Genomic DNA, 26,807 nt, shown 5'->3' on the forward strand with positions numbered 1-26,807 from the left:
AATAGACAAAATACTAATCTTTGAAAGTTGTTGTAAGGATTAATAAGATAATGTACATAAGGAGACCTTGCACAATACCTGGCATATTGTAAGAGCTTGATAGGACAATATTTATATGACATACCAAGAAAATATGTGTGCCATTTTCCACTTCCCAAATCACTTTACATGGGTTTAGAAAGGAGATTAAGAAAGACAAACATACAAACTTTTCCCTAATTTCAGAATATATGCTCCAAGTACTACCTGGTTAGAGCTTTTTGATTCCTATGATGTTATTTTGTAAGCTAGTGCTTCACAGTGCTAAAGAATAGTACCTTAGAGAACTTAATGCATTAATCGATTTTCCTTAAATTGGAACTTTTTTTTCTCCTTTATTGAATCAAGAAAGTTAAGTGTCAAAGAGGCATGTAGATTATACTCTAAGGTAACAAAACTCTATTACGTTGTATTTCATTAGAGCTGAACCAAGGGCATTTTGGAAAGAAATCGTGCTGTGTAATAAGAGGGATTGTTAGCAGAGACTTTTTGCTACCATTTTCTCCAAGCTTTTCCATTCTGTACTTGAGTAGCATTGTCCCAAATAGAAATATCCCAGGATCCCTTTTTCCTCTTGAAAGACTCTAACATTAAGACTAAATTGGAGATTACCATGGAAGTAAATGACATTAAGGTGAACAGACAAATATTCAACCTCCCTTAGAAGGAATGTTTCTGCTTACCTTATGGTCTTCCTGTTTCCCTCCCTTCATTATGTAAGCCAGAGTCAGCAGTACCTTTACCATAAATAAGCAGGCAAGTGGCTTTGCAGTGGCTCCTGAGTACCAGCCAACTCTTATACCAACTAAGACTCAAATGCTCTTTCTACAAATTAGTTTCCTAAGCTTTGTGTACACACACACACACACACACACACACACACACACACACACACACACATACATAAGTTATAATGTATAATCAAATATATTTCTGGCCAGGTGTGGTGGCTCATACCTATAATCCCAGCACTTTGGGAGGCAGAGGCAGGCAAATCACTTGAGGCCAGGAATTCAAGACCAGCCTGGCCAACATGGCGAAATCCTCTCTACTAAAAATACAGAAAATTGGCCTGGTGCAGTGGCTCACGCCTGTAATCCCAGCACTTCAGGAGGCAGAGGCAGGTGGATCACCTGAGGTCAGGAGTTCGAGACCAGTCGGGCCAACATGGTGAAACCCTGTCTCTACTAAAAACACAAAAATTAGCCAGGCATGGTGGTAGGTGCCTGTAATCCCAGCTACTCGGGAGGCTGAGGCAGGAGAATCGCTTGAATTCGGGAGGCGGAGGTGGCAGTGAGCCAAGATCGTGCCACTGCACTCCTCCCTGGGTGATAGAATGAGACTCCATCTCGAAAAAAAAAAAAAACAAAAACAAAACAAAAAAAATCCCAGAAAACTAGCCCGGTGTGGTGGGCCATGCCTGTAGTTCCAGCTACTTGGGAGGCTGAGGCAGGAGAATTGCATGAACATAGGAGGCTGAGGTTGCAGTGAGCTGAAATCCTGACACTGCACTACAGTCTGGGTGACAGAGTAAGACGCTGTCTCAAAAAAAAAAAAAAAAAACAGAAAAAAGAAAAATCAAATACATTTCCTAATACATAATTATGTAGTAGTAAATACATAATTATTTACTAATAATTTCCTGGAGATTTTTAAATTTATATCTTGGCTTATACATTAAAATTACTTAACACTAGGCAAAAATACATATCTTCATGCTGGAATTAGGAATATTTTAGTTACCTTAAGTGGAATTATAATGAGATAACCAAACCAACCCCAAATTACATAGTATGTGGCATTATAAAAGAAAGATCTCTCCTGAATTTCATTTCCATTGAAAAGACATAGAATATTTGGCTAGAAGAAATTTCAGAAGTCATGGAAAACTTTCACTTGTCTTGAGAGGAATGAAGAAACTAACATCCAGGGAGTTTACTGATGGGTGCCTTGCATTGTGATTGGTTGGCTATAAGAAGACTGGGAGTTAGAATAAAAAAAAATTTATTAAACAAATTATTAAAAAAAAAATAGAGCTGGGGTCTTGCTATGTTTCCCAGGCAGGTCTCGGACTCCTGAGCTCAAGCGATCCTACCACCTCAGCCTCCCAGAGTGCTGGGGTTACAGGCGTGAACCACCAAACCTGGCTAAGGATTATTAATTCTTAGTTCAGTATACTTCCCAGAACACTGTGGTCACTGGATAATTTTGTGGCTAGCCTTGAAAGAATGTGGTGAGCTTCAGCTGTTTTGAAATTTGGTAGTGGCCTACATAGTAGCACAAATTATTTCCTAGAGTAAAATGAAATTGTGTAAGTTCTTGTTTTAATTTTTAATTTATTTTTGTTTCTTTTTTTACTTTTTTATTACTTATTTTATTAAAATTTTTTATTATTTTTTGTCTTAACATTTTTTAATTTTTTAATTTTAATTTTTTATTCTATTCATTATTTTTTACTTTTAAATTAAATTTAATTAATTAATTATTATTTTTAAGCCAGTGCCTTGTCCATTAGGTGACTGGAGTTAAATTGTGCAAGTTTTAAACTGCAATATTGGTTAAAATCTAGGGAAATTATAAATGTTACAATAATATGAAATCTTAAAGCCTGGATACAAGGCTATCGTATTTTAACTCCATTATATCAGGCAGTCTAAGTAGAAAGATATTGCTGGAAGGGTCTCAAAAGATTTTTGTTTTGTAGGTTAGGAAACAGGAAATGGGGCCCCCAGAGAACTTAAATCACTTGTTCAAGTTCATTGGGCCGCTTAGGGGATGTGGACCAGAATTTACATTTCTTTATTTCTTTCTTTCTTAAATTTTAGACCCAGGGGGTATATGTGCAGGTTTGTTACAGGAGTACATTGCATGTTACTGAGGTTTGGGCTTCTATTGATCTCATTACCCAAAAGAAAACATAGCACCCAATAGGTGGTTTTTCAACCCTTCCTGCACTCACCTTTTGGAGTCCCCAGAGTCTGTTATTGCTATCTTTATGTCCTTTGTACCCAGTGTTTAACTCCCACCTATAAGTGAGAACATGCAGTGTTCGCTTTTCTCTTTCTGTGTTAATTCAGTTAGTATAAAGGCCTCCAACTGCGTTCATGTTGCTACAAAGGACACAATTTAATTCTTTTTTACGGCTGCACAGTATTCCATGGTGTAGATGTACCAGATTTTCTTTATCCAATTTGCCATTGATGGGCACCTAAGTTGGTACCATGTCTTTGCTATTGTGAATAGTGCTGTAATAAACATGTGAGTGCAGGTGTCTTTTTGGTAGAGTGATTTCTTTCCCTTTGGGTATATATGCAGCAATAGGATTGTTGGGTTGAATGGCAATTCTATTTTCAGTTCTTTGAGAAATCTCCGATCTGCTTTCCATAGTGGCTGAACTAATTTACATTCCCACCAACAGTGTATAAGTGTTTCCTTGGCTCTGCAACCTCGCCAGCATCTGTTATTTTTTGACTTTCTAATAATAGCCTTTCTGCCTGACGTGAGATGATATCTCACTGTGGTTTTTTTTTTCTTTCCACAACAAAAGCCACATTCAATCTCATTGTGGTTTTGTTTTTCATTTCTCTGATGATTAATGACACAGAACTCAGGTTATTTATCTCCCATTTTGAGTACTCACCCACCACAGTACCAGCGTCTAGAAAAAAAATAGTTTCCTTTAATCTCTATTGATTTTACAGTTCAGGATTGAATCTGCTCTATAAAGTTAGGAATAGCTAACTATATTTACTCTAAACAGGAAGCTCTTCCCTATGGGTACTACACTGTTATCATGTTTTATTTTGGGGAGAGAAGGAGAATGTTATGGGTTGAATTATATCCTCCAAAAAGAAATATTGAAGCCCTAACCCCTAATACCTCAGAATGTGGCCGTATTTGGAAACAGAGTCATTGTAGGTGTGATTAGTTGATACGAAGTCATGCTACAGTAGGGTAGGCCCTTAATCCAATATGACTGATATTCTAAAAAAAGAAAGAGACACAGGGAGAAGAATGCCACATGGAGAGAAGGAGATACACAGGGAGAAGATGGCCCTAAAACAGTGGAGGCAGATTTTGGAGTGATGCATCTACAAACCAAGAGATGCCAAGGATTGCCAGCTGTTAGTCCATCCACTTTGTGTTGCTGTAAAGGAATGTTGGCTGGGAATGGAAGCTCATGACTGTAATCACAGCACTCTGGGAGGCCGAGGTGAGAGGATTGCTTGAGGGCAGGAGTTCAAGGCCTGCCTGAACAGCATAGTGAGACCCTGTTCCTAAAAAAAAAAAAAAAAAAAAAAAATAGCTGGGTATGGTGGCACACACCTGGAGTTTCAGCTACTTGGAAGGCTGAGGCAGGAGGATCAGTTGAGCTCAGGAGATTGAGTCTGCAGTGCTGCAGTGAGTGAGCTATGATTGTGCCAGTGCACTCCAGCCTGGGCGACAGAGCCAGACTCTGTATTTTTAAAAAAGAAATAAAGTAAAGAAAGAAAAAAAAATAAAAAAGGAATACCCAAGGCTGGGTAATTTACAAAGAAAAGAGGTTTATTTGGCTCATGGTTCTGCAGGCTGTACAAAAGGCATGGAACCAGCATCTGTTTCTGATAAGGGCCTCAGGAAGCTTTCAATCATAGTGGAAGGCAAATGGCAAGCATGGTGAGAGAAGGAGCAAGAAAGTGATGGGAGAGGGAGGTGCCAGACTCTTTTTATCAACCAGATCTCCCATGGACTAATAGAGTGAAAACTCACTTATTACGCTGGGAAAGGCACCAAGCCATTCTTGAGGGATCTGCCTCCATGACCCAAACACCTCCGGTCAGGTTCTGCTTCTAACACTAACACATTTCAGCATGAGATTTGCAGGGGACGAACATCCAAACTATAACATCAGCCATCACCGGAAGCTAGGAGAAACAAGCAAATATTTTTTCCCTACAGGATTCAGAGGAATTATGGTCCTGCCAATACCTTGTTTTTGCAACCTCTAGTCTCCAGAACTGTGGGAGAATAAATTTCTATTTTTCTAAGCTTTGTGGTTATTTGTTATAGCAGCCACAGGAAACTAACCTAGGGAGCAAGTCAATGAGAGAATTTATCAGGATTTTCCTGATCAGTCTGCTGATCAGTTTGCTCAAGACTCATGAAAGCTCACCAGCCTGGGGCATTTGTCTGTGGCTTCCCTTACACAGCATGGATTCCTATGGCTTTTCCTCACAAAAGATTTTCTAGAATTGGCTTTCCAAATGGGAGGAAGAATGGTGAAAGAGAGGGAACATAACATTTTCTCCTCTGCTTTTGTATTTGGAATTGACAAACTGGAGAAGAAAGCATGTATGATTTTATTGCCGTAGGTTCTGTATATGCTTTTATAGGCTACCAGCATACTATTAGTTTGCATGATGCGTGTGCTGTTATCTTAGTTTCCTGCTATTTTCCTTTTATTCTAACCATCTTAATACTATGCTTTGGGATTCAGACCTGTCAAGCTGTCTGGATTATAAAAGTGTGCCTTGCACTAGAAGGTGGAAATGTGGAATTTCCCTAAAAAAAAGCAAAAAAAAAAAAAAAAAAAGCAAATAAACCAGATCCTGACTGCTTATTCTAACAATTTGCCTTTCTCTTATTAAGTTGTAAATTAATTTGACAAAAATTACCTAATAAGTATAAATTCCTATATTCTATAAGAATCAAACAGCTTTTCCTTTGGCAAAAATTCACATTATCTAAAATAATTACTGCATAATACTTTGACTATCATTAGTTTTATCATCACTGTTAGATCTATGAGTTGGTGAACTTTGTTTGTTGCCCAGGCTGGAGTGCAGTGGCATGATCATTGCTCACTGCAGCCTCCACCTCCTGGGGCTCAGGTGATTCTCCCACCTCAGAATCCCAGGTAGCTGGGACCACAGTTCCCGGCTAATTTTTGTATTTTTGGTAGAGACAGAGTTTCTGCGTGTTGCCCAGGGTGGTCTTGAACTCCTGGGCTCAAGCAATCCTTTCTCCTCAGCCTCTTAAAATGTTGGGATTACAGGTGTGAGCCACTGCAGCCATGAGTTGGTGAAATTAACATCATTTTATAAGGTCAAAAATTAAGAGAGTAAACTGGGCACAGTGGCTCATGCCTGTAATCCCAGCACTTTGGGAGGCCGAGGTGGACGGATCACCTGAGGTCAGGAGTTCGAGACCAGCCTGACCAACATGGTGAAACCCCGTCTCTACTGAAAATACAAAAATTAGCCATGCGTGGTGGCTGGCACCTGTAGTCCCAGCTAACAGGAGGCTGAGGCAGGAGAATTGCTTGAACCTGGGAGGCAGAGGTTGCAGTGAGCCAAGATTGCGCCACTGCACTCCAGCCTGGGTGACAGAGCGAGACTCTGTCAAAAAAAAAAAAAAAAAAAATTAAGAGAGTACATTTTAATCTCTCATTTCCTTCTATTCACTGGTAAGACTGTTTTATGTAACTAGTAAACAGACTTCTAAATTGTACAAAGTTATGTTCTAACTTACTGTCTTATTAACTTCCCCAGAGACCTACCAATGCCAGAAGTAGTAATTATTATTTGGACAGGAAATTGATGTGAGAACTTATCTAGGTCTTGAATTCAGAAGTAGCAAAAAATCATTTCTAGTTAGAATTAGCTATGCTGTATTAGAGATTTGTAATATAAACATCGTAAACATTTGTTTTCTTGAATTACCTTAGGATAAATATTTTTGACATGTAAATGCTAGAAACTATTCCAAAGCAACTTTATTGCTTTTTTGCTATGTCAAGATATACTATCTTGATATCATATATTTAAGTTGGTATTGCGAAGGTGGTTCAAAAAATTTTTTTTCCTTATATGTTTAACTTTATGCTGTCTAACAGTCAAATAGAGTGATACTGGTTCCATTTCCAGGTAGACATACCTTTGGATTTTCAAACCACTAGTTGTCTTGGATTTGCAGTGATCCTTCCATATTCATTCATTTATTTCATTTCCCCATTATTTTTCTGTTATTTTTTGTTAAAATATTGCAGATTATATTTCTCAAAAGTCAAAATAAACTATATTAATAAAGTTTTTGTCTAGTTGGAAACATTTGTCTCCCTTCTGTATTGACTTTGATATCAAAAAATGAAGAGGTAGAATTATGTCATTATTTTGTAATGGAAGTTTTGAGAAATGTTGATTACTGACATAAAAATTCCAAAGGTAAGGCTGGGCGCAGTGGCTCACGCTTTTAATCCCAGCACTTTGGGAGGCCGAGGTGGGCAGATCACCTGAGGTCAGGAATTTGAAACCAGCCTGGCCAACATGGCGAAAACCTGTGTCTACTAAAAATCCAAAAATTAGCCAGGCGTGGTGTTGCGCACTTCTAATCTCAGCTACTCGGAGGCTGAGGCAGGAGAATCACTTGAACCCAGGAGGCAGAGGTTGCAGTGAGCCGAGATTGTGCCACTGCACTCCAGCCTGGTCAACAGAGTGAGACTCTGTCTCAAAAAAAAAAAAAAAAAAAAAAAAAATTCTGAAGGTATAACTGCCTACTATTTCAGTAGTTACGAAGTTCTATCTCAAAAATGTCACCTGGGTCATGTGGGTCAGTGTTCTAGGGTAGATCTTGATAGTCGATTTTTCTAATGAGCTTCTGCGGGATGCCATTGCTGCTGGTTTAGACATCACTTGAAATAGCAAGACTGTAGTAATCACTTTGTCCTTTCTGGAAACAGAACTCTTTCTATTGAGAAACCCATTTTAAGTGGTATAAAATATGACCCAGGTATTGGCCAATCACAATCTCTCTTAAGAAGTGATTTTGGCACCAGGTGCAGTGGCTCATGCCTGTAATCTTAACACTTTGGGAGGCCAGGAGGGAAGATTGCTTGAGGCCAGGGGTTCAGGACCAGCCTGAGCAACATGGCAAAACCCCATCTCTACCAAAAATACAAAAATTAGCTGGTGTGGTGGCACATGCCTGTAGTCCCAGCTACTTGGGAGGCTGAGGTGGGAGGATGGTTTGAGCCTGTGAGATGGTGGAGGTTGCAATGAGCAGAGATCGCACCATTTTCCTCCAGCCTGGGTGACAGAGCCAGACCTTGACTCCAAAAAAAAAAGGTGATTTGGGACTCTAGGTGGTATGTCATCCTTCAACTATAAAAGGGGTCATCTTTCCTGGTCCATCTAACATGAAAAAGTAAGGCTAATATGAAAGAATAAGGCCAATATAAAAAAGGGTAAGATGAAGCACTAAAAGAGTATGTCCTCGGGGCATTATTTGGATTCCTGGATTCAGATGTGTTTAATATATTTTATTCCTGGAATTACAAGTTAATATATTCAGTTTTTTCTTAAGCTAGTCTGAATTTCTCGCTATCCTACAACCAGAAGTCCTGATAAATATACCAAGTTCAGCCATTCAACAAATTATAACTAATGGCAATAGGACTTTGATCAAAGTGTAGTTGAGTTAATGCAAAAACAGAATATAATTAATGCTCTTATGTAACCTGAGGGACGTTGAACTCAACGTCTATAAGTATTCTAATACAGTCCTAGAAGCAATGTGGTGACTGTCCAATATAACTTATTTACAGCATTATCTTCTTACTTAAAAGATGTGTAACAACGCTTTGGGAGGCTGAAGGGGGAGGATCACCTGAGGCCAGGAGTTTGAGGCCAACCTGGGCAACAAAGCAAGACTCTTGTCTCTATAAAACACTAGCTGGGCATGGTGGCACATGCCTCTGGTGCTAGCTAATCTGGAGGCTGAGGCAGGAGGATAGAGACCCAGTCTTGAAAAAAAAAAAAAGATGTATAAGCTCATACCTCCAGTGGTGAAAATGACCTTGGGTAGCTACTTTTCCACTTTGTAGATAAGGAAATCAACTTGCATTTTGTTCAATGCTCCATCTAAACTTACTGAACCCAGAACCTAGGTCTACCCTTCTCATTCTACAACTCCCCTCTTCCACACTGTCATTGCTATTCCTTAATTTTTTTTTTTTTTTTTTTGAGACAGAGTCTTACTCTGTCACCCAGGCTGGAGTACAGTGGCATGATCTTGGCGCACTGCAGCCTCTGCCTCCCGGGTTCAAGTGATTCTTGTGCCTCAGCCTTCTGAGTAGCTGGGATTACAGGCACATGCCACCACGACCAGCTAATTTTTGTATTTTTAGTAGAGACGGGATTTTCCCATGTTGGCCAGGCTGATCTCGAACTCCTGACCTCAGGAGATTTGCCCACCTCGACCTCCAGAGGTGCTGGAATTATGCGCCTGGCTTGTTATTCCTTAATGTATTAAGACGTTACTATGTTATCACTGGCTTCTGGTTGAGTGAAAAGGATGCCAGTACTTCCTAAAATTAATTAGCTATAAATGTATACAAAATGTATATATTTGTATGTCTATGTCAGGCTCTGTGGCTCTTGCCTGTAATCCCAACACTTTGGGAGGCCAGCAGGATTGCTTGAGACCAGGAATTTGAGACCAGCCTGGGCAACATAGAGAGACACCAGCTCTACAAACATTTTAAAAAAATTAGCAGGCATAGTGGCACATGCTTGTAGTACCAGCTACTGGGGAGGCTGAAGTGGGAGGATCTCTTGAGCCTGGGAGGTCAAGGCTGTAGTGAGCTGTGATCTTATCACTGTACTCCAGACTGGGCAAAAGAGCAAGACCCTGTCTCAAAAAACAAAACAAAAAACCCAAAATGTATGTCTAGATGCCTCTTTGTAACATACCTTGCATGTGAATATATGTTTGGGAAGAAATATTGGAGAATCATATAGTAAGGCCCATATACAACTTGATAACTCATGCATTAATGTATAAACACTGAAGAAAAATTCTAAATGTGATTCCAAAAGTACTTCTAAGGTTATCAGACACTATAAAATTAAGATTCTTTTAAGACAAAGAATATTCACTGTTTTTAAAATTTAAAGAAATTTAGAAATATTCTTCAAAAATTAGAAATTAATGTAACTTTTAGGCCGGGCGTGGTGGTTTGTGCCTGTAATCCTAGCACTTTGGAGGCCAAGTAGGGTGGATCACTTGAGTCCAGGAGTTTGAGACCAGCCTGGGCAACATGGCAAAATCTCATCTCCACAAAAAACACAAAAATAAGCTGGGCATGGTGGGGCATGCCTGTAGTCTCAGCTACTTGGGGGTCTGAGGCAGGAGGATTGCTTGAACCTGGGAAGTCAAGGCTGAAGTGGGCCGAGATCCTGCCACTACACTGCAGCCTGGGTGACAAAGTGAGACACTCTCTTAAAAAAAAAAAAAACTATGTTATGTTTATGTACTCTTGAAATACTGGTAATTTGAACACAACACAGTGAGAAGGAATTGGTGCCTGAAAGTGAATTATTTTACCTGGTTAAGTTTGCTTCATATTTAAGATTGAAATTTAGAGTCTGGACATGGTGTCTCACGCCTGTAATCCCAGTGCTTTGTGAAGCCAAGTTGGGAGGATCGCTTGAGGCCCGAGTTTGAGATCAGCTTGGGTAACATAGTGAGACCACGACTACAAAAAAATTAGAAAATTAGGTGGGTGTGGTGGTGTGCACCTGTAGTCCTAGCTACTTCGGAGGTTGAGACAGGAGGACTACTTTAGCCTAGGAGTTGGTCAGTAATTTTCTTTAGTACAGACCTAGATACAATTCTTACCCAGAATGGCTTAAAATAGAGTTTAATAGTTTAATTTAATGTGTTTGCATGTATGGTGAGTTACTAATATGATCAAGATTCAAATAAATCTCCAAACAATTATACAAAACAGAAAAAAACAAAACACTTTATTTTCCACAAGGAAGAGCAATAGGAAAAATTAAATCATTTCCCACATATTGTTTTCTTAAAACAGAGCCTACAAGGACATATTCAGCACCAAATAAAAAAGGAAAAAAAGAGAAATTACAAACAGCCATAGAATATAATCTATAAAGCAAACATTTAATATTGCACTTTGTTTTGCTAACATTTTGGATTTTACTTTTCCTAATTGAAAAATCAGGAATCTATCTTGAATACTGGAATACAACTGTGAACCTCACATCTTATGTCAGGAATTGACCAATATTTTTAAAAAAGTAATGCCTCTAAAGAAATACATTTTAAAGGGGAAAATAAAACTTTATTTGATAAAGTTTTATACATTTAAAGTTTTATCACATTTTGTGATCCAGTGCCAATTATCAGAATATTGGTCATTCTTGCTTCATGTGTTATTTGTAAGAGTATATAATGACAAGTATTCCAATGCTATGCATATCAACAATTGTTCCCTAGTCAGTTAGACGTAAGAGAGAAAAGGGATTTTCTGACAATCCCCCTCAAACAAAAATAAAACCACCAAATGCCCTTTATGCCAAATATTCCATTAGCTTTTTTTGAGGGGGACATTCACAAAATGATTCAACAATAAAAAAATATTTCACCCCCATTTCCTTATTATCTAGTATTAGTTTGCTACGGGAGCCCAAACTCTTTAACCGAATCACTTAAAACGCGATTCATTTTTACACTGGGCTTTCTTCACCCTGTCAGCATTTGTCAAACATGAATTGTCTTCCATGTTTTCTTAAAGGCCACTTATGGAAAAGCCTATTTGTTTTGTATGAGCTTTAAGACAGTATTTAACCAGGTCAAGCACCAAGCCAGAGCTACTATTATTTTCAGCCACTTTATTAACTGTGGGGTTAAATGGCAGGATAGATGTAACACCCATTTTACACGTATGTTGCAACATCAGAGATGCTGGTTTTCTTTAAAAACATCAGAGCTGAATTCCTTCTAAAATACAACAACAACAACAACAACAAAATAAGTACACTTGGTACCTTGGAAAATGCTGAAATGCTATCATGAATGCTGGTATATTTGTTATGAGCCAACAGAAAATTACCTTTAATATAAACTATAACTTACTGATGTGATTGTTCTTCCTATGTAATCTATACATAATCAAAGTGAGTGATTTCTCATGTTTAGCAAATTGTTCTTTAGGTAATGAAAAACAGTATTCTCATTAGAAAAACACAAAAATCCAAAAGATTTATCGCAGCAAACGTTCTAGTATTTTAAATTTTGAAGTTACTTTTGGAATAAAGTCGAGTTTTCATGCCATACCAAGCTTGAGCAAGACAGCAAAGGTACAAATTGAGCTCTCTATTCATAACCTCAATGTATGTATTCCTGCTCATTAATATACTTTGCACCAGCAAAAGCGATTTCCAACATATGTGTTTTGGAGGTAATTAAGTAACTCTGTATAAAAATAAATGCACTTTTCCCTCCTTTCCCCAGTGAATGGAAAACTTCCATACTTTCAAAATAATAATAAAAAAAATAATTTTTAAGAGCAACAGCCCTCAACTCTTTGCTGGTGCCTGCCATACTGCCTTTCTTCACTCCATTCTTAGCTCTGCTAGTTTCTTCTTGTATGTCATGATAAAAAGGGAATGTGGGTGTGTAACTTTTGTGTATGTCCCGTTTCCAAATTTCCCTCTCCAAAAAGCCAACCAAATAAACAAACAAACAAACGAAAAAAACAGTGCAACAAAACACAAATAGCATTCCAACAGTTTGGCAAGTGATGCGTTCACCTGAGATTAAGTGATTTTAGGCAGTCAGTAACAAAATGCTGCTTTGCTGTAATAGTAGAAAGGCAACAAATTCTTAAAAGAAACCAAGAAGGTATACAATCTTGACAGTCTCTTATTAGCTTCCTCCTCTTATCTCTTTTTTTCCCACATTATCTGTTGCGTATCTACTACAGTAGGCTGCAAAACATACAGCAAAAAGGATTGGCTTGAAGGCATTTGATGTTTGTAAATAAATCCACAATTGGATCCAAGCTGAAGAGGTGATACATAGTCAGCCTAGTAGACAATTCTGAGCATGTGCATACGCAGGTAAAGTCCAGGCTATATTAAATAAAAAAAAATGTCAGTGCGTTTTTTCATGTTAAAGTTTTTTCAAAGCTTTGTTTTGTTCCTTGTTGTGCTGACCACAAACAAGTTTTAAGAGTATCAAGAGTCTGGCAAAAATAGAAAAAAAAAAAAAAAAAAAAAGAAGCTGTAGTGACGTCGAACCGCACAATGTAAGCATTGAGCATGTGCAAATTTTCAAATCAAAAGAAGGAAATCATCCCTCTTTACAACGTGATGTCTTGACACGTACGACCATAGGCTAAGAAGACTGCTCTGAGTATGTGCCAGTTTTAAAAGAGAAAAGCTTAGATCTTCAAGCATGTTGGAGCAGTCTCAGAATGTTGCTGTAGGCTTCTAAAGCATGATCACTGGTTGTTTCATGTATTCGCCATTTTTCTGGGCAAAAGTAATTCCACTTCCTCTGAAACGTGTCTCCAAGATACTTCTCTGTCCTCAGCCGGAAGAGATACAGTTCGGAACCCACATCAACTTGATTCAACCAAGTGTTCCTTCAACGAGAGGGGCAGGATGGTCTATCATCTGCTGACTGATCAGGATTTGGATCAATCTAGAAAGAAATGAGAAAAAAAGTTTACAGAGTTATTTCATGAGGTCTAGGAAGAATGTAGCAAATGACTACAATTCTGAATACTAGTCAAGAAATGTAATCAGAGAGCAAACACAGCTTGTTAGCATATTATATCCAATTATTCTCTTTTCATACGTGAAATGCTATGTGGGGAGGAAAGGGTGTTGGTACCTACAGTACCTGATATTTAATTACTAGATTAACAAGCTTTATAAAGGCATGTCTGAATAGTCCCCTATTTCACAAAAATTAACAGTAAAATTTTATCAGTGAATGAAGACTTTTACTCAGTACTTTAGTAGTACTTAATTAAGACCTAAATACACAACGTAGAATATCTTCATAGCAATCATCTTCTTTTGTAAAGCACCCCTTTCATCCTTCTACAAAAAAGTTAACTCATCGCTTCCTCTGACTTTGGAAAAATGAAATCGTATAAACAATGCTCTTTGTTTATACAATGTGCAAACAATTTGTTTACTCACATGAACAATGTGCTTATGTGAGGTAATAACTCATGGGTGTAAAATCCCACAGAGGGCCAAAAACGCAGTGTATCAGGAAATAAAACTGCTGAACCCAAAACACTCAAGAGGTTTCCTCCCACCTTCTTTATCTTCAGAGTGACTTTTATATGCACATATTTTTAATGAAAAGTTGCTTCTCAAGTACAAAGAGAATGGTCATAGAAAAGCAAATTGTTGGGTTTAATATATTTTTTACTGAAAGAGCTTTTGGACGAGACCCCATCCACTTGCATCTAAATGTGGAACAACCCAAATTGCCTCAGAAGCTTTAGGTAAAACACATTTTTGAAGGAAAAAAGCCAAATAACTTTTAGTTAAATCACACCCTGAACATATTTTAGGGTTTTAAAAGTTGTAAATTATCTTTAGTGCTTTTTAAAAGGAGGCAGAATTTTCCCACAAATTGCTTAAAAGTGAACTATACTTAGATTGTCATTCTTTTTAAAATGCCTCCTTGGACAGCCAGGAAGCCTCAAATCAAGCCAGAAATGACTGACTTAATAAGCAAGACAGAAATGTCCAAGTAAAAATGTAATGACAAAATCTGTAACAAGTGGCAGAACACTTTTAGCATCTAATAGAAATTGTATGTATTAGAAAATAAATAGAAAAAATTATGTCTCATCAATAATTCTGAATATTCTATAATCAATGAATGAAGAAGATCTCATATCATCACAACCAAAGGAAAACTGACCCTTCCAGTTATGGTGTTAATAAAAAAAAAGAGAAATATGATGAACAATCCCCTAATGTTTAATTTGGGAGTAATATTTCAGAGTAAAACAGCTATGTAAATTACAGTAACCAAAAGAAAAAGCTGATTCTAGTAATTTACAGAATTATTTTGGTATCAAAACCAACTCCAAAACCCCTTAAAAATGTGTACTAGTGGCTAAAGTCACTCTGAAATATCCTGAAATTACTGGACACCCCACCTACTCACTCCTTGTCTTTACATACACTGTTCTTCCTGCCTTTTGAGGACTACTCATTCTTCAAAATTCAGCTTAATAGTCACCTTTTCAAGAAGCCCCACCTGATGCCCAAGACCTAATAAGCTGCTTCTCAAATGAGCTGTGCATTTTATCACATTATTACATAATATTTTGCTTCTTAGCTTGTTTTCCTCAGTAATCTGTGGGTTTCTCCTAAGGGCCATGTTTTATTTACATTTAAGTGCTTAGCTGCCATCAATATGAGATGAACGAAAATAGTCTAACCATGTGGGAATGTTGTTTTAAGATGTTATCACAAATACATTATTTCTTATGACTGAGAATGTCAAAATATGCAATTGGAAAAGCATCATGAATAAGATAAATTCTACTATTTAATCAGTGTTTGCAAAATGCTAGTTCTTCCTATTGATGCTTGGATATACAAAATTCTTCCTTCAAAAAATGTGTCTCAAGATAAAAGTTTAAGAGAAAAAAAAATTAGTAATTCAACATGAGGTTAGATCATTATCTTAATTCCCTAATAAGTGAACAGTCCTACCTCTGCATCAAACTTAGTAAATATTGATGAACCTAATATTAACTTTTAATCTGTTGTTTTAAATTATTTGTTCTGTTAACATGATAATCAAGATCTAATAACATTAAGAAAAAAAAATGCCTGCAATGCTATTTCCCAAGATAGCCAGTTCATTTCATACTTAAGGAGTAGGTACTTACCTCTGAATAAAGAGGTGGAGGCAAGAATCGAAACTCCTGGATATATGCAAACAGTGGTCCTTGAAGGGCTCTCTCAAAGTCATCACAAGCACTCACTGGTGCAAGATTGTTCCGCCTTTGTTCCTCTGTTACCACTTCTGCATAGCTGGGTGGTGCTGAAGGAAAAAGATACACGCAATTCGAACAGCATGTTCTTATGCATGTCAAAATACACAGAATAGTAGGTATTAAAAAGCAACGTCAAGGTAAAATAATTATTGTTTGGTGATCAAAACTATGAAGACATATAATCAAAACTGAATATTAGGGGCACATCTACTTTCTTTAGGAAAAGATTATGTTCATCTAGGGTCATAAAATATCAGAGGCAAAATAATTTTCTTGATAATAGTAGTAAGAGATTAAGCTTAGACGTGTATTATCAAATTACCTTCAGGTCTTTCAGGAAGTGATAAACTGAGCCAGTTCATATTCATGCTACACTGACTGCTTACACTTGAGGTTCTGCTACCAAATGGATGTAGAGGAATGGTACCGATGACAAGTGGCAAATTAAGAAATAAATCCATAGCTCCAGGAATATCCACATATACCTAAACATTGCAAAGAAATATTAAGTTTAGAATGCCAAGTATGATTTCCTTTTCAAAAACTCATAACCAATTTTAATGTTATTTGAAACCCCCATTTACTTCATTTTTAAACTTACATACATGAAAAGTTTCTCTTTTATGTATAATTCTGTATAGTACATTTACATATAAGGTATAATTGTAAGTCAAACTATATAAAGAGTTATGTATTTTATATGTCACTATATATGGAATTTAAAAAAATCAAATCCTGGATGTAAGACAAAACTATGTCATAACTTTAAGACTTAAAAACAAAACAAAAAAAAACACCAAAAACCTCTTGGGCCAGGCACTGTGGCTCATGCCTATAATTCCAACATTTTGGGAGGCCATGGTGGATGGATCACTTGAGCCCAGGAGTTCAAGACCAACCTGGGCGACATGGTCAAACTCCATCACTACAAAAAATACAAAAATTATCCAGGCATGGCTATAGGCACACCTGTAGTCCCAACTACTTGGGAGCTGAGGTGGGAGGATCACTGGAGCCCAGAAAGCAGAGGCTGTAGCGGAGCTGAGACTGTGCCACTGCATTCCAGCCTGGGTGACAGGTGTTTCAAAAAAGAAAAAAGAAAGGAAAAAACCTCTTAAATGTGTACATACCATTAGTGAATATTCCACGCGGATTATACTACAGTCGAGGATAGAGGGAGAAACTGGTGGAATTTTCAGCAACTTGCCATTCCACGTCTCTGTCTTTCCAGATGATAAGGATTCCCCACGCAAGTTAGCCACAAGCTGTTTTACTTCCTTCATTTTCCCTTTGGCATAGAAGGCCTGTGTTTGGTAAATGGCTGCCTTTGGCACCACCATTCGGGAAGAGCAGTTCTCAATCTCAGCAAATATCTGAATTGATTCACCTAGAGAGGGAAAAATATATACATATCTACTGTTAGAAAAAAACAACAAAAGAAGTCAAGATTCTTAAAGCTAAAGTAAGAAAGTGCAACTAACATACATGAAAAGATGTCCCAGGAACTGCAAATAACTTGAGTCATAGAAATGAACTAATCAGTAGCTATTTGAAAAAGGAAACTACATTCTACTTTGTGAAAAAAACAAATGGATAAGCACAATTTGTTATTTCACAAAAGAATACTATATTATGTTTATATTTAGTAGTCATATTATAAATTTAAACACAAAAGCTAAGTGAAGAAAAGTTTTTTGTGGGAATCTACCTCTTACATACCTGGGGTATAGCCCTTCCTTTCAATTTTGGCACTTAAGGATATTGGGCCTGAGGTACAGAACCAGCAACAGAGTGTCTTTTCTTTTGTGCCTGCTTGGGGTGACTGTAAGAAAAAAATTAAGAGAAAAAGGTCAGTGTATGGATTGGTACAATCAATACCAGAATATTTTAAAATATAACCCTAAATTTATGGAAAATTAAAAATTACAACTGGTTTTGCTTTTTTTTTGTATCCAGACATACTTCTTATTTTTTAACTAACCGATGGTTTTGAATTATACCATTACTTTTATTTTCATATAAATTTCCATTCAATTAGAAAAAAAAGGTAAAGGGTTTACAGCCTATCCCATAAACATAGTTTTTTAGCTCACACTATTTACAAATATAGTAATCAAAAACCAACCAAATAAAAAAAACCCTTTCCACATTCCATTTAAACTGCCTTAAAAAGGCAGCAAAGAAAGCAATCTGATTATAATTCCAAATGTTAACATCTTTCTCTGAGACTATTAAAAAATCAATATGTAAAAAAGGAAAATGCCCATTTCTTATGTGCTTTAAAGATGTTACCATTTGTTTAAATCAAATAAAGTTTTAAGTCAAATTTGAATTATTTTCAGACAAATGCAATTAAAAATAGATTTCTTTAAAAAAGGAGTTTTTTAATGAAACTAATGATTCCCCATTATTTGACAACTATCCCTCTATTGGAATAACAAAGTATAGTACAAATTTTAGATTATGATATTGTCAAGTAAGTGATATTGTATTATAATAAAAGATACTACTGCTCTTCTTCCACTCAAATCATCCAAGGACCAGATCTGTTTTTTGTTATGGCTGTCATACTCTGAGTAAGAGATACTTCATATCATATACTGGTCTTAGTTTTATATTTACTTAAAGGTATACTACAATGTCAAAAATATGAGCATATTTTTCATTAATTTCAGTGTTCTTGACTGTATTTAAGAAAATGTATATTTATGAAATTTTAAAAGAAAACCAGTATTTTTAAATTATGACAACTGCATAGTTTAGGTGATTGATTATTCTTTAATATTTATATGCCAAAAACAAAGAATAAATAATTCAGTCAATTCTTACCAGTAATGAAGGAGTGTTGATATCTATATGCTCAAAGACTGTAAATTCCTTCTTTAATTTTACTGGTAGTAGCCAAGGCCTGTGCAATTCGGCTTTCACCCAATAGCGCACACTGCCATGTCGGCCTTCGAATGAGGTAGCGAGTGGTCTGTGCAGAATATAAAGGTCAATATATTAATTTTATACCTCTTTCTAACAATTACACAGTAGGTCAGAATAGAAGTGTTAATATATTGTATTGTTTATGTTCCAATGAGGTATCAAACATATAATTTAAAAAATTTCCAAAGGGATAAGTCACTGGGGAAAAAACTTCCTATTTCCAACTAAGAATAAACAATAAATATCTTTAAAATTTTGCTTTAAAAAGCCAGAAGAATACAATCCATTTAAACTAAGAGGAGGCTACTTTTAATGATGGTGGCAAAATCATGAAAGTTTAATGGGCATTTTTTGAAAAGGCCAAGAATTCAAACACAAAGTTGAGAATGGTTTAACTATTTCTACTGATAAATTCTAGACACTGGTTAAACATTCAGACCAAATTCCCTATAGTACTCCACTTCTCATTAGCCGGGAATTATCATCTTTTAATAGCAACTAACTAAGGTCTAGAAAAGGCCTGGAATAGTCATTATAGTTTCAAAAATTTCACATTTCCTAAGTTTACTGAAAAACTACTTTTGTATCTCTCAGTTTACTCATGTTCTAATTCTTGTTTGGCTGTTCTCTAACTTTACGGGCTTCAAAAGAAAAAGATATAGTCCTCTTGATCTATGTCAAGAGAATAAAAAAAAATTTTTTTTAACTCTGTCAGATTTTACTTGTGGAAGGTTTTATTTTAGCAAGTTCAGTATCTTTTTCATAATTTCATTAGTAAAATACTCAATGTTCAGTTATTTACAAGAGTGCTAGCTTAGATTAGCATAAGAAACACTGGTGTTTTCATAATTTTTTTTTTTTTTTGCATTTTAGACTCCCACATTAACTTGTATAGCAGAGAAATAAAATCTTAAACTGTATGCTAATAGTTATCCAAAATTTATGTTAAATGACTTTGGTTTATGGATAGAACTTTAACATTAAATGACGCTGAAAATACTCAGGCCCCATATTGGCCTTATTCTATCAACAGACTTTAATATTTTTCTCAGAAATTAGATGAGGGCATTATATTCCAAATAAAATTCTCAAATAATACAGTAAATAGAATTTTCTAAAAAATACCATTTATGACTTCTCTCTCTATATATAACATCTCAAGCACTAGAATTAACAAATGCAGAATTAATGTACATTTGTCACCTGACAAAATCTTATGTAATCTGTTTATTCTCCAGAATAATCACCACAAGTGCCATTTTGCAGGTTTTAATATTTGTTAAAAGGCATTTTTTTTTAAAAAGTTTGTATCATCTCTTCCAACAATCTGTCATTACTTTAAGAATATACCACTTTCCTTTTTCCTTTCTTACTAGATTCCAAGTTTTATATTAATGTATCCTTGATGCATGTTTCCTTTTAAGCCTGGGTCATATCTCTTGTGTGACCTTCCCAATAGTTCTTTGTACAGAAGCTATTAAGTTCATATCAGAAGAAAAACATTTCTAAAGTTAGGATATTCCTAATTATTTTTATTTTCGAAACTTACTGCTATTGGTTAGTATTAGCAGAAAAAGTAGAATATAGAATTTTTTATAAATTGAAGCTACTAAGACTTGATAGGGTCTATCTTTTCTCATAATGATAATTGATAATAAACTAAGTATAAAGTGGTTATTATTCGACTAGCAACTTCCAATTCACTCATGTTAAAGGAAACCCTATTCCTATTTTAAAAACCTCATAAACTTTAGGAAAGAATACTGAAAATTGAGTATGCTTTCTATAATTTTGCCACGCTAGATTAAAAAATAGCTTCTTATGTTTAATATATTGTTTTCCTCTAGCAAGTTTCAGTAATGAAAAGGGTTTTTTTTTCAACTAAAAATGTTTAAATTTAGAATACTTAATTTTAAAATAATGCTCTGATCATAAGTATCTATAAAAATGCCTATTATTTATAATACTTACGTCTGTGGAAGCTCGAAGCTGAATGCATATTCATGCCTTCCTGAATGAATAGTGTGGAAGCCTTCTTCGGAATTATCATCATCTAAAACAAACATAAAAAGAAAACAAAGAATTTATTATTCAACATTTACATACTCCGCAGGGTGGCATAACTTTAAAGATGCTTACATAACAATTAAGACCACAAAACAAGCTTTGGAGTCTGAGAGATCTGAGTTCTAATTCTAACTTCATCATTTCCTCTGGACAAAATAAAAATCCTGTCGTCAGCTGCCTTATCTGTAAAATGGGGATAATGAATACTCACACCCCACAGGCTTTTTATTTTTTCTAATGGAAAATGACCCAAACTGCAAAGCATCTGTTTATAAAATAGTATATATACTCAAAAGGCTCGGGTCTCACATCATGGTAAGACAATGCTATCCTTTGTCTCCAACGGTTTGCTTAAATTTATCACATTAAGACTATAATGTATCAAAGAAAAACTGTTCATGCAACCCTCTTAAAATATGTCAGTTTATAGGGAATAATAATACCAGATGTGAATAGAATAGATACTCCAAAACCACTAGAAAACCTTGTCAAATAGACGGAGTAAAAAAAAAAAAAAAAAAAGCCACACATTGATTTTAATGTCAGATTTATAACTAAAAATAATTATTTATTGAACTAAAAATAATTATTTATTGATCTAAAATGATCACAACACTCAGTTGGTCCTAGCAACGACTAAAACTTGCATAAACTATACCTTAGATAATTACAAAGAACCGCATTTAGGTGGTGTCGGCTTATAAGGAAACAATATTTTCCAACATCCTTGAAAAAAATGAAGTCTAACTATTAATAGTTTCCAGTTTCTATAAAAAAGGGATGACCTTTCATTTTACAACCAATTTTTTTGGTGAAATTATTTTTTTTCAAGTGGCATGAAAATAAATATAATCGAAAATATGGGAGGGGGTTCTAGATCATTAAAGTGCCTATTTAGCGTTTTAAATAATTACAGAAATATCTTTTAAAGTTTTCTTGGTGTAGAAACCTTTACGATTAGCCCCCAGAGTAGAAAAAACTGGCACATTATTTAACTTTCCTTCAGCAAAGTATTGGATATACACAAAAAACGTGATGCCTCCCTGATATTAAACGAGAAAAAGGGGGAAAAAAGCATGTATACGTCGATACTTTCATTTAAAAATCATGGTGATTCGCTTATGTCTCCATACAATTTTCCTCGTCCCCTGTGCAAATTCCCCTGAACGGATTTCAGAACCAAAAACTAGCTGATGAGCTGGGGGCCATTTAAATTCGCTCCCCTCGAAGGCGCCCGAAGTTCGCCTTCCTTTCCCTTTCTTCCCTCTTCGCTCCCTTTTTGTGCCAGCTCAGCAGTCTCATTGAAGCGAGCGGCGGCGGCCGCGCCGTGGTAAACAAGTGCCGGGCTGTCAATCAAGAACTAGACCGGAGCAGGAGAGGACCGGCCTAAACCGGCGCGAGCAGATCCCAGCCGGCCTGCCCGCGCGCCGCCGCCGCCGCCGCTGCCGCCCGCGCGCCCCGCTATACATACGGCATACGTCGCGCGGCGCTCGCGCCCGTGCCCGCGCAACCTAGCCTGCTGGCCGGGGGGCGGGGCGAGCGAGCCGCGGCGCTTCCGCTTTACACGCCCCAGCCGGCGACCGGTTCCATCTGGCTCGGGCCACTCTGACACCTTTAGTTTCGGCAAGGGATATTGGGGTGGCGAAGGGGAGGCGGGGGCCCGAAGGCTTCGGAAAACGATGGGGGAGGGGGCAGAGGATACCCGTCGAAGCCCCCCCCTCCCCCAACATTTCGATATTGGAATCACTTTCCTTCTTCCTCGGGCCAGCCTTTGCTCTGTCCCCTCAGGTCAACTCAAGGTAGACAGTGTGGCGACTGGAGAGGTCGGGGAACAAGCTTTGTTTCAGCTAAGGGGAAAACAAGCGTTCACAGGAGTCCCCTGACACCTCCCACTCGGAAGATAGCTAACGGGGGTCCTGCCAACCCTTCCCATCCAACTTCCATCTGAAAAGGATTTTCTGCTAAAGTTGGGTCCATGGCCATCCAGCACCTGTAAGGCCGGCAGGAGCGTCTGCCCTCTACTCAGTTAAAGCCTGAAGTCGTTTCCTTTCGATGGCCCTTAGGAGGCCCAAAAGAGGGGCGACAGAACATGATGTTGACACGGGCTGGGCGCCCCCAGAAGCCCGGGAACAAACGTGAGTACGGGCTGGGTGGGGGTCGCTCTGGAGGAACCTTTACCGGCGCACGCCGGTTTCCTAGCCTCGCCCCAGCCGCGGCGCGAGCTCACTCTCCCCACCCGCCCGCGCCCAATCCAATCAGCGCCTGCCATCGCCTTAGCAACAGGCTAACAAACCTGGCTCCGCCTATCCCGGGCGCCCGGGGCGGGGTCTCAGTTACCAGGCTAGTTTGAGAGCTCCCAGTTTCAAGTCATTGAAACTATTCCAGACTGAGCTCGTCTACGCGTTGCAGGGTTTGGGGGGCATTTTGTTGGGGGTGCAGGGCATTTAGTTTTCTTTACCACGAAATCATGGTGCAACTAATGAAATTATATTTGTCCTCACATCTCGTTGTTCTACTTTTCCCCACTGCAAGTCTTAACCCCTTGAGGAAAAATCTGTTTTCTTTCATCCGTTTCATAAAAGGCTGCAATATTCAGAAAGGTACAAACACAAAGTCATCTATCTGCTTTTCAACAAATACCAAGGCTGTCATTAGGCATTTGCATCTCCTATCAGTGTTAACACTTGGAGAGATTAATTAGTTATTTCAGGATGCAAAGTACCTGTATCTAACTACGAAAATCCTGCTAAAGAACTGAGTTCACCTTAATAGTTTCAAAAATAATGCATTAATACTGTCCCTCAAAGCATCCTTCATTTCTCACTTGCCTTAGTCATCAGCACTTCTCCAGGATGTACGTTTTTAATATAAAAAATAAGGTAAAATATGTCTCTAATTTTTTTTCTGAAAAATCGCCAACATCTGAACTAAATACTGCATTAAAAAGGAGAGGCACAAAAATTACATAACCAGTTTTAACATTATATTCTTCTTGGGCTAGGAATTAAGTCATCGCCACCACCTGACGCGTGTAACCAATCTGCTGAGAGCAGAACAAGCGCCCCTCCTCACCACCCCCCAGAACTGGTCCGAAACAGGATTGAACCGCTTCTAACAAAGGGTGGAAACTTAGAAAAACAAGCCTAGAGTCTCCTATATTTCCACAATGTAACCATTTAAACAATAGATTGGAAATCTCAGGACTCCTTCTCCTTTTGACAACCCTTTATCTCTCTCTTCTAACCAAAAATCAAATCCAGTGTGCCCTATACTTTTCAATTCCATTTGACTGGCATGGGTTTCATTGAATGCACGTTCCAAAGTTAGACATGATGCTCGGAAAAGAAAATTACTGATCCTAAATGGCTTCTAAACCTGACTCGATACCTATCATAATGACAGATAGTCATTCCTTTAAAATAAGGAATGCTGGGTGTAAATTTTTAAAGGAATGGTAAAGAATAGAGAAAAAACACGTGGGGTGTTGATACCATATGTCAAAATAAGCCACAGAAATCTTTTATGAAAGAACAGTCATCAATTATTTAAAGTCTTTTGCATTCCAATATTAAAAATGAAACACACCCATTAAGTCTCTTAAAAATGTTATTACATTTCTTGATCGAAGTTCAGTTTTTACATCTTAGGTTGCAAGTAAAAGGGCAAAAATCTAAGACTGCAGCTTTTACCAATTCATTTGAAAATATATTAGTAAAACGACTGAATTGGATTCAAACAGAATTTATAAGTAAGGTGCAAATGGACTACAAGTGCGTGTGGCACAGACCGAGCCGGGTACAGAGGTAGCTGAATAAGTGTAGTTTGCAGTCACTTTGCAGATGCCTGCATGCATTACGGCTTAACACACGATGAACGTCAAGGAGAATCCAAACCTTCCAACTTTGCTAACCTTTCTCAAACTGCTTAGTTATGCTAGGAGTAGAATCACGTTAATTCAGAAAACTGAAAAGGTACGTTTCCAAAGAAAATGAGTCCAATGACTTATGAATAACAAAAACTTACCTCTTTCGTGCCCAATTAAGATGTCTTTATGGTTGAAATACTCTACTTCTTCAGTGTAATTCTGTGTATAGGCAGTATTGGAGCCGGCGTTTCTAGATTCAGTCCAGCGTACTTTCGCATGTCCTCTTGCATGAATTTTAAGAGATTTTACTCTGATTTCCCCAGTAACTTCTAAATTTACCCTTCCTGAGACGGTATCCCCACTAGAATACACAGGGACATTGCTGTCATTAAGACAGTCAAAGCTTATTGTCAAACTCTTCACCTTTCCCAGCACCATGTTTATAACAAAATCTATAAAAATATAATGTAAGACAAAAAAGTCAAGATCGCATATAAAATGTGATCTTCACTTAACACTGATCGATATTTTTGCCGTGCAAAATGCTTGCAGGCCGGATCAGTGATTCTCTACAAATAGTTCATTGAGATTTCTTAAAAAGTCAGGGCAGCAGAGGCTGCTGCTCCGCGCTCCCGCTCGTCTCAGTGGTCTCCTTACAAAGACGGGCGGCTAAAAGCTGCCAGCTCACTTTAAGAGCAGCTTTGTGAAAAACAACCCCAGTGCGCAGGCGCAGGCCGCGGCTGCTGTCCGCCCTCCCTGCGCGCCCCCTCCCGCGCCGCGCCGCGCCGCGCTCGCTCCCTTGCCCGCTCGCTCCCGGGTACAGTAGGTGTAGAGCTAGGGGAAGGAGATACTGGAGCTGCTGGCCGGCTGAACCTGACTTCTCTTCATTGTGGGCTCCTATTGGTAGGCAGGCTACCGTATACCCTCGACGTGCTATCTGGAGCCCGTTACCGAGCGCACTCTACTAGAAAGATAATGGCAGAGTGGGGTGCGAGGGTACAAGGGCTGGGTGGGGAGTTTGCAAAGCCAAGTTAGGATAAACTGCAGCGACCAGCCCGAAGCGTGCGTTACCGGCACTGCAGCGTTTTACCAACTGCCTGGATGGGAGGAGGAAAAAGTGATGTGTGAAGAGAGATGGGGGAAGGGAGAAACCGGTTGGGCAAGCGGCCGATTGTTGAGCATAATCTAACGAATTTCCAAAGAAAACGTAATAAAACCGGACAAGAAATATTGTTCATAGACAAGAGCATACTTTGCTTGGATTTTTTTTTTTTAAACCAGTACTTTGTAGGCAGGTTGGAAATGAACTCAGTCGAGGTCAAAGGAACCTTAATCCTTTGAAGAGCGAGGTAGAGAAGCAAGTACAATGTAATCAATAGGCTTTGCTGTCTCCTCAACTTCTTTCTCCTACATTGCTTAATTAGCACCGAAAAACAACCAAGTTGTTTCCAGGATGACACGGGTGGGGGCTGGGGGAAGCTTGATCACTTCCTCGAAGGAAGAAAAAGTCCTTTTAAGACACCACCTACGGCTAGATTTGCAGAGTAAGACATGATTACAACTCCTGTGTCCAGAGGAATAAGAATAGAGTTCGGCCTAAAAAAGTACTACCTTATAAAAGGCATATGACATAGTGGTTTAGCTGACATATTGTTTGCAACAGAATCGGAAAATCTTTGTTAGAAATTAGTGAAGCGCATAAAATTGTTTTTAAAAAGCATGATTTGGTATATAAATAGGGATTTAACTGTGTGAAGCTTTAATTTTCGGCCGAGAGCCTTGGACCATTTAACGTAGTAATTCTCATGATACATCTTAAATATAGGTACATTTCTCTTTTTATTGTGAATGTTTGGTAAAAAATAGCAGTGCTTTCGTCACATCACACTGGGATTCAGAGCATAACAGCATAAACTCATCTAGATTACTGGCAATCAACAGAACTGCCTTACAAGAGAAATGTAGAAAGAAAAAATATGAATCTGGTGCTCTCTCTATATATATATGTATGACCAAAAATACCTTGGAAGATTTTTGGCTGTCCGTGTCTAAACGTTTTAGATTCTTTTGCGTAGTGTATAT

The 26,807-nt window shown here is 37.7% G+C and overlaps 1 protein-coding gene and 1 long non-coding RNA gene across 7 annotated transcripts in view, besides 6 other annotated features; one reads left to right on the forward strand and one right to left on the reverse strand.

Moving 5' to 3' along the window:
* Positions 10,702-25,388, reverse strand: ARRDC3 (arrestin domain containing 3). 6 transcript variants are annotated; one of them, NR_138072.2, is made up of 8 exons: positions 24,884-25,388; positions 20,765-20,846; positions 18,692-18,839; positions 17,582-17,684; positions 16,993-17,249; positions 16,185-16,347; positions 15,755-15,947; positions 10,702-13,527 (listed from the first exon to the last, which is right to left on the reverse strand). NR_138072.2 is itself a non-coding variant. In NM_020801.4 (8 exons), exons 1-8 carry the CDS (start codon positions 25,161-25,163, stop codon positions 13,471-13,473), a joined length of 1,245 nt encoding a protein of 414 aa, NP_065852.1. In that variant the 5' UTR covers positions 25,164-25,388; the 3' UTR covers positions 10,702-13,470. The 6 variants fall into 6 exon arrangements, 4 of the variants coding, with proteins under 4 accessions (NP_065852.1, NP_001316599.1, NP_001316601.1 ...); NR_138071.2 differs by lacking the exon at positions 24,884-25,388 and adding an exon at positions 21,519-22,168; NM_020801.4 differs by having other exon boundaries at positions 15,755-15,909.
* Positions 22,280-22,459: a silencer, noted in NCBI's record as "silent region_16171". NCBI's record gives its function as "represses an Ori minimal core promoter by ATAC-STARR-seq in GM12878 lymphoblastoid cells {active_cell/tissue: GM12878}" and the evidence as "EXISTENCE:reporter gene assay evidence [ECO:0000049][PMID:35858748]".
* ARRDC3-AS1 (ARRDC3 antisense RNA 1) overlaps positions 22,418-26,807 on the forward strand; it is a 40,369-nt gene continuing 35,979 nt past the window's right edge. Inside the window, exon 1 of the long non-coding RNA NR_027435.1 lies at positions 22,418-22,995. This is a non-coding gene — a long non-coding RNA (ARRDC3 antisense RNA 1). The remainder of the gene's footprint in view (positions 22,996-26,807) is intronic.
* Positions 23,080-23,149: a silencer, noted in NCBI's record as "silent region_16172". NCBI's record gives its function as "represses an Ori minimal core promoter by ATAC-STARR-seq in GM12878 lymphoblastoid cells {active_cell/tissue: GM12878}" and the evidence as "EXISTENCE:reporter gene assay evidence [ECO:0000049][PMID:35858748]".
* Positions 25,295-25,604: a silencer, noted in NCBI's record as "silent region_16173". NCBI's record gives its function as "represses an Ori minimal core promoter by ATAC-STARR-seq in GM12878 lymphoblastoid cells {active_cell/tissue: GM12878}" and the evidence as "EXISTENCE:reporter gene assay evidence [ECO:0000049][PMID:35858748]".
* Positions 25,295-26,154: a biological region, named in NCBI's record as "H3K27ac hESC enhancer GRCh37_chr5:90679204-90679721".
* Positions 25,458-25,975: an enhancer, noted in NCBI's record as "H3K27ac hESC enhancer chr5:90679204-90679721 (GRCh37/hg19 assembly coordinates)". NCBI's record gives its function as "activates a minimal SCP1, AML or CMV promoter by ChIP-STARR-seq in primed H9 embryonic stem cells {active_cell/tissue: H9 hESC(primed)}" and the evidence as "EXISTENCE:reporter gene assay evidence [ECO:0000049][PMID:30033119]".
* Positions 25,855-26,154: an enhancer, noted in NCBI's record as "active region_22787". NCBI's record gives its function as "activates an Ori minimal core promoter by ATAC-STARR-seq in GM12878 lymphoblastoid cells {active_cell/tissue: GM12878}" and the evidence as "EXISTENCE:reporter gene assay evidence [ECO:0000049][PMID:35858748]".

This window comes from Homo sapiens, chromosome 5, assembly GCF_000001405.40.
Source record: "Homo sapiens chromosome 5, GRCh38.p14 Primary Assembly".
NCBI lineage: Eukaryota > Metazoa > Chordata > Mammalia > Primates > Hominidae > Homo > Homo sapiens.

What these genes read in the sequence shown, in the direction of transcription:
- ARRDC3 (NM_020801.4), bottom strand. Translation starts at nt 25,163, where the DNA reads ATGGTGCTGGGAAAGGTGAAGAGTTTGACAATAAGCTTTGACTGTCTT. An exon ending in AAGGAAGGGCTATACCCCAG is followed by an intron (nt 17,250 to 17,581) that starts GTATGTAAGAGG and finishes TTCCCTCTCTAG; the next exon opens with GTGAATCAATTCAGATATTT. An exon ending in GCGTGGAATATTCACTAATG is followed by an intron (nt 16,348 to 16,992) that starts GTATGTACACAT and finishes TGCAATGTTTAG; the next exon opens with GTATATGTGGATATTCCTGG.